The sequence below is a fragment of the Homo sapiens genome, chromosome 2, assembly GCF_000001405.40.
Source record: "Homo sapiens chromosome 2, GRCh38.p14 Primary Assembly".
Lineage (NCBI taxonomy): Eukaryota > Metazoa > Chordata > Mammalia > Primates > Hominidae > Homo > Homo sapiens.
The window spans coordinates 4,935,788-4,942,924 of NC_000002.12; positions in this window are offsets into that span (position 1 = coordinate 4,935,788).

Genomic DNA, 7,137 nt, shown 5'->3' on the forward strand with positions numbered 1-7,137 from the left:
CCTCAAGTGCCGCCATAGTGGGAGCCCAGGCAGAGGAGGTGCCGAGAGCCAGCGAGGGCTCTGAGGACTGCCAGCACGCTGTCACCTCTCACTGGGATTGCATATAGAGCAGAGCCAGCCATCAGGAAGAGGAGCATTAATATGGATAGATCCACTTCTTCTGAACAAGTGTTTAATGGTAACACTTTTCTAGCAAATCTCTTCCCTGACTCATCCCTGAAAGCCTTTGAATGCGAAATGCTTGACCTTTTGAAGAGCCCTTCATTTTCCTATTTGTTTTCTATAGATTTTTACAGCATGCAACCCTCTCTCCTACCCATACTCCCCACTCACTGCTGAATAACCACTTAGAGAAATTGTACTGTAAGAGAACGAGGTATTTGGAAAATTCTGGTTTCGAAAGAAAAGGGAGAAGCAAGAGGAAGACATAGTTCCATTACTCCAATATGGAACCCTAAAGACCTTTGATTGGATCTGTTAAATCAAGTTTACCCTAAAGCCGTCCCATTACATATTTTAAGTTCAGCCTAAAGGTCTCTCTATACATGGTGAACTGTCACCTAGCTGGATGTGTAAACAGACTATACTTACTCTTGTACCAATCATTGAGTTTTGGTCAGTCTAAGGCAGCCAACCGTTCAAACCATGTATAAATAAGGGAAGTGCTGAGCTGTAACCAATCTGGCTGTTTCTGTACCTCACTTCTGTGTTCTGTACCTCACTTTTTGCTTTCTGTCCATAAATCTTTCACTACGTGGCTGGACCAGTCTCTCTGAACCTATTCTAGTTCAGGGGCTACCTGATATGCAAATCATTCTTTGCTCAATTAAACTCTGTTAAATTTAATTTGTCTAAAATTTTTCTTTTATCAGATCATAGGTAAACTCCTGGGATTCTGAGGTCTGAGGCCATGCAAAAGACACCTTGGAAAATCATAGTCAACATCTGGACCTCTGTGTTCTTCTCTGCAAAATGAGGAGGCTGATTAAATGCTGTTGAAGACTCCTTTGAAGCTCTAACAGTTTATCATTGAGGGTATTTTGAGCAATGCACTAGATCCATGATGGGGCAGAAGGTGGAGGGTCGGAAAGAATTGTGAGAGTTGGCCTCAATGTTCTGTGAGGAAAAAGACCCCCAGCTGCTCTGCTCCCATGCTTGTAAGCTGCTGGACTAGGATCTTCGAGAGCCTAGAGGGCCCACAACATCAGGGCCCCCCTGGTGGCTATGATCAACACTGTGAGCAGCTAACATTTATTGGGTAATTGCTATGTGACTGGCATGGGTTTTTCTGCAAATATTCTTACAAGGTCAGGTATATTTCATATTTAACAGATGAAGAAATTAAGGAAGAGAGGGTAATTAAATTTCTTGAATTTCTACTGCTTTTAAGTGGCAAAGCCTGGAGCACAGCTTTCTCTGACTATACGATGGTGTCCAATAAAGACATTGATTACTGGTCCTCATATTAATATCAGGTCTCTCCATGAACTTCTCAGCACTTTTCCTAGGATCTTAGATCCCTTTTGGCATGGACAGTCTGAAAGTGCATTTAAAGTATTTTCAGAATGTGAAAATCTTCATCAGTTCAAGTCCACAAACTTCCCCGTCTCTCATGCTCACTATTCTCTCTCATCCTTCTTGACTGGGATGTTAGGAGGGAAGAAAATACATCCAAATAGAAATCTTACCTGGGGGGAAAAGATAAAGCACAACCTCCCCTCCTAGAGGTTGTGCATTTCGAAGCATTCCATCTTTTTTGACTACTCAGGAGAGAGGAGGTTTTCACTACTTGGTAATGATTTGTCATTGACCTGAGGCAATTATTGGCAAAACAAGGCCTTGAGCTATTTCCAAGTCTCTCAAAACGTTTGGGTGAAAAACAGCAAAGGAGCCCTGTGAGGATGTTGAGATGGTTTATTATGTGGTTTGCTTAAGGTCACAGAGTCACTACACTGCAGAGCTAGCTGTGGAATGCTGAGGCCCCAGGGGCTCCCTGTGCAACAGGCCTGGATCCAACTCCTAACTCTTTCCTGCCTGGGCATTCTCCCCTCCCTCACAGACACTGTCAAACAGCACCAGCCCAAGGCCCGAGTGTCCTTTGCAAAATTCAGCTAACTCCGAACTCTCACTTGATGCTCTGCTCATGGGTGGAGAGAAAACAGGTGGAACCGCTTCTCTATCAACTGAGTGAAAACCAGATGAAGAATATCAGATAGATACTGGGGAAAAACAATATCTAACTATTTCGTTAAAATAGATCTTCCCCTCTTTATTGCTCTTAGTTTATGAAATTTAGAAAACACATACAGGCAACAAGAAGTGCGTTCAATGGACTCAGTAGATTTGTGGAATGCAAAGGAGCCTGAAGCTAGGTTTCAACCCGCCACTGCCACTTAACTCAGTCTCCTAATAATCGTCAGAAGGGAAATTTTCACTCTGCCTGGAATTTTCACTCCAGGCTCCATGTTCTTGGAATCACATACAGCTCTATGGACCCGGAAACCACACCTCCATCCCGGAGCGTGATGAACCTGTGCTATTGCTAAAGCTCAGGCTTTAACACTGTCTGTGGATCTCTGCATCCTCTGCCAATAAGGAAACTCTCTATCTGGAATTGCCAGCTGGTGCCTGGTTATCTCAGCTCCATGCATCTGCTGTGAGGACCTGGAGGCGGCGATGGGGCCGGGGCAGGGGATGGGGAGAGTGGGGGTGCTCCTCTTGCTGTACAGAGGCTGCAGCTTTCACCAAAGCTGCATGCCCCTCACCAGGGGGACTGCCCATTTTACTCCCACTGGGCATGTGAGGCTTCCTGGAATTCAGCTTCAGTTCTTATCTACCTTTTAAGACATTTATATCTGCTATTGTAATTGCACCATTTTTTGAAAAGTTAGTTGTTTTCATAAGAGATGAAAGCTCAGTAGAAGCTTTGTAAAAATTCAGTGATTCCATTAAGGTGACTCTGAAAGCAAAAGGGAGGAAAAAAGAGTAAAAGAAAGAAAATTAAAAGATGGAGGGAAGGACAATATAAAGAAGACCACTGTTGTTCAAAAATATGTAAGCAAGGTAACTTGTAAAGACTAAAGAAAAATTCAAAGTTTAACATGAATCATCATTTGAGTTACTTTAAAATCATGGAGAGCTCCCTCTGCTTTAAAGGAACCAAAAGATCAAAAAATAAAAAGTATTATAGACAAACTCATATGCTGTGACCTGTGCAATAATAATATAAGAAAGAAGGAGTGCCACACTCATTCTCAAATGAAAGGCTTTGGCGATTTTATACCTTAAACATCCTTACTTCCTCATATTTCTACACATCCCCAGTGCTTTTTGTAGGATGTATGTAGATTTGAAATTGCTGGGTCAAAGGATACACAGGCTTTGAGGCTTTTCATACTTCCGTGGGGCAGAGGACACTCATCCCCACATCTCAGTTTGGAGGACAGCTGGTAGGAAAGGCTGAAATGTAACTGAAGCCACAGGAGGCCCTGAGGCACGGAAAGGACGTGGGAGGAGTATCCATCCTTCTGCTTACAGACCCTGAGTTGCAATGAGAATAATGCCACGAGGAATGAACAGAAACTATTGCTAATCAGCAATAGAAGGATTATCGAAAGCTTGAACACCAAGCACAGCAGGTTATGATGTACCTTCACACACACACACACCAAAAGCACGCACATTAACACGCACATGTACACACAGACCTCCACCCAGACACATGCCCTAAAACAGTGATCCCTAAGCTTTTTGGCATCACAGACCGGTTTCATGGAAGACAACTTTTCCATGGACGGGGCTGGGAGGGTCAAGATGAAACTGTTCCACCTCGGACCATCAGGCATTAGATTCTCATAAGGAGCATGTAACCTAGACCCCTTGAATGGGCAGCTCACAGTAGGGTTTGCGCTCCGCTGATTTGACAGGAGGTAGAGCTCAGGTGGTAATGCTCGTTTACCTGCAGCTCACCTCTTGCTGTGTGGCCTGGTTCCTAACAGGCCACAAACTGATATCAGTTCGTGGCCCAGGGGTTGGAGACTCTTGCCCTAAAACACAACATTGTACTCAAGCTTCCACTTTAGCTGAATGGGATAGCTCTTTAAAGCATCACCTGACCTTCAAGTTGTCAGAATTGATGGTGTTTTTTCCTGGAAAAATAGACTTGTGGCTAAATGCACTACATGCTTTTATTCCTAGATTAAACAGACCCCTGCATAAAAATATCATTTGGGAGGCATTTGTTTCCTATGTTGAATAAGCTCCAGAGAAGTCTCAAGTAGAAAATCAAATGTAATAAGACTTCCAGAATAGCAAGTTAAATGCTCTCGGTCATAAGACTGGTACATTTTGCCATGGGACAACAACAGAGCTCATTAAATAGCTTTTCTGGTTCAGTATTACCAAAAATACTACCAAAGAAAATATAGTCTTAGAACATGGATCAAAGCAATATGGCACTCCGCTGTGTTCTGTTCATACAGTGAAACTAGGATGAGTCTGTGGCATCCTCTACAAACATTGGCCCTTGACAGGAAATCATGACACAGGGACCTTCTCGTGACTTTGCCTCTGACTATTGGTAACACTGTTCTCTATTTCTAGCCACATCCATGCTGCAAACCACTGGCAAGTCCTTGAAGTCCAATACCCCAAATCTGAAGACAGGAAGAGGTTCCTTCCACAAACTCTCTGTGCAGCAGGGTGAAACATCTAAACATGGGTAAAACATGGGTGACCAGATGCTTGGGGTGAAGATGCATCATCACTGCTTGGAACCCTGTGATTCTCAGAGAAGTGGAGGTTGATGGGGAGAAGGGAGAGGAAGGTAGGATGACAGTGAAAGAAACTAGAAGTTTCAGCAGATCTAATGGGACAAAGCCTGGAGAGTGTCTCAGTAAAAACAGGTCACTGAAACTCCTGACCTATCTCCACATGTCGTAATTTATTCAGAGTAAACTATGGGAACAGAACTCAGGAACACGCCAAGGGGGTGTCTGGGTACCTATTAGCACACAGAATCAGATCTCAAACATTTCCCTGAGGAAAAACATCTTGTTTCATCAGTGCTGAACAAGTTGAGGGATGATTGGAATGAGAGAATTTACAAACAGCAAACCTAAACATGGAACTAACATATTCAGAACACCCCAGCAGTAGAAGAGAAATAAACATCCACTTTAATCAGTTTTAATTGAAGATCTAAAGCTTAGCGGCTGTGGACACCTTCAGGGAACTGGTCTCAGCCAGTTGGGGTCAAGGGGTCATCCTTTGCCCAGTTTCAGTGAGTGACCACTTTTCCCTAAACACCTGAGGAATGGGAAACAGGAGGCAGGAGTAGGTTTTAGGACATAGGAACTTATCGTTACAGGACTTTGTCTTAGTTCATCTAAAGACGGGGTTCTTGTCCCATGGCCATGAAAGTTTAGGCTCGCAGACGGTTTGAAGGGTGAGTAAAGCAGGGTTTTATTGGGTGAAAAGGAAAAAAAGTGGAAACAGGGACTCACTGCAAGGCCAGAGTCCCTACTAGAGTGCTTCCCGCCTCGCCGCTTGAATCCCAAACTCCACACAGGAAGAGGAGGGGACAGGCTCCTCCCAGCTGCAAAAGGTGCAAACTTCTGTGGCTCCACCCCAGTCCACCTGGCGGTCTCACTGTGGCAGTAGCTCTTCCTACTGATGGCTCCGAAAAGTCGCTTGGGAATTTCTCCAGAACATCCTGCCCGGATTCCACACCCAGAGATCTCATGTGGACTTGGTCTGGGAGTGGGGCCCGGATATTAGCATTTATTTTTAAAGGCCCTGCAGTGATTCTAACCTGTGATTCTAAAAGGATGACTAAGGTTCTTGGTTTGAATCAGTTGGAAGGACCATGGTGCCTGAGTTTTGAATTGCCCTCCTAGTTTAAACACCGAAGCATGGGTTTATTTTGTTCTCTCAATGAATACCTGGAGAAAATAATGCTGCAGATGCTATTCTGGATGCTTGGTGTATGTTACCAAAAAAAAAAAAAAAGAAAAAGAAAAAGAAAGAAAGAAAGAAAGAAAACCCCTGCCTCACCAAACTCACCTTATAGTAGGAGGATTCAGACAAGAAGCAGAAAGTATGGTGCACAGAAGTATCAAGCAACATACCCTATTAAAAAGAAAAACAACAGAGTGATAGGAGTTGAGATTGCAGGAAAAGTGAGAAGCAGAATTTGTTATTAAAATAAGGGGTCATATTAGCCCTCACTAAAAACACATATTTGAGAAAGATCTTGAGGGCAATAAGGAGAAGAAAAGAGTGTTCCAAGGGGACAGCTAGTAGAAATACCCGAAGACTGGATTTGACAGATGTGCTTACAAAATGAAGAGCTGGCGAAGGCCAGGTGCCGTGGCTCACGCCTGTAATCCCAGCACTTTGGGAGGCCGAGGTGGGTGAATCACATGAGGTCAGGAGTTTGAGACCAGCCTGGCCAACATGGTGAAACCTCATCTCTACTAAAAATACAAAAATGAGCCAGGCGTGGTGGCGCGTGCCTGTAATCTCAGCTACTCAGGAGGCTGAGGCATGAGAATTGCTTTAACCTGGGAGACAGAGGTCACAATGAGCCGACATTGCACTACTGCACTCCAGCCTGGGTGACGGAGCAAGGAGCAAGACTCTTTCTCAAAAAAAAAAAAAAAAAAAGAAAAAGAAAAAAAAAAAGGGAAAAAACCAGAAATGGCCACTGAGGCTTGTGCAGGATGAATGAGGTAGAAGCCTGCAGGTCCAAGTTGCAAAGGTTAAGGAGGCGGCTTCCTTAAGTGCCGTGCCATTGTGAGGATCTTGGCTTTCACTTAGAGTGAAACAGGGAGCCAAGAAAGGGTTTTGAGTCACGAGTAAAGGAAAGGAAGCACAGACTGATTTATATCTTAAAACAAACAAGCAAACAAAAAACACTTTGGCTGTTATGTTGAATCTTAAGTAGAGAGGACAAATGTGGAGGCAGGAAGATCAGCTAGTAGGTGATTGTTGTCCTTTGGGGCAAAGCGGGATGGTGGGGTGAACCATTGTTTTAGTAGCACTTAAAAAGCAGAGACGGCAATCTATCCTGAGAGATTAACATGGGAAGACAGGGAGGAGGTAAAAATGATCCTAAATTTGTTGTTGTTGTTGTTG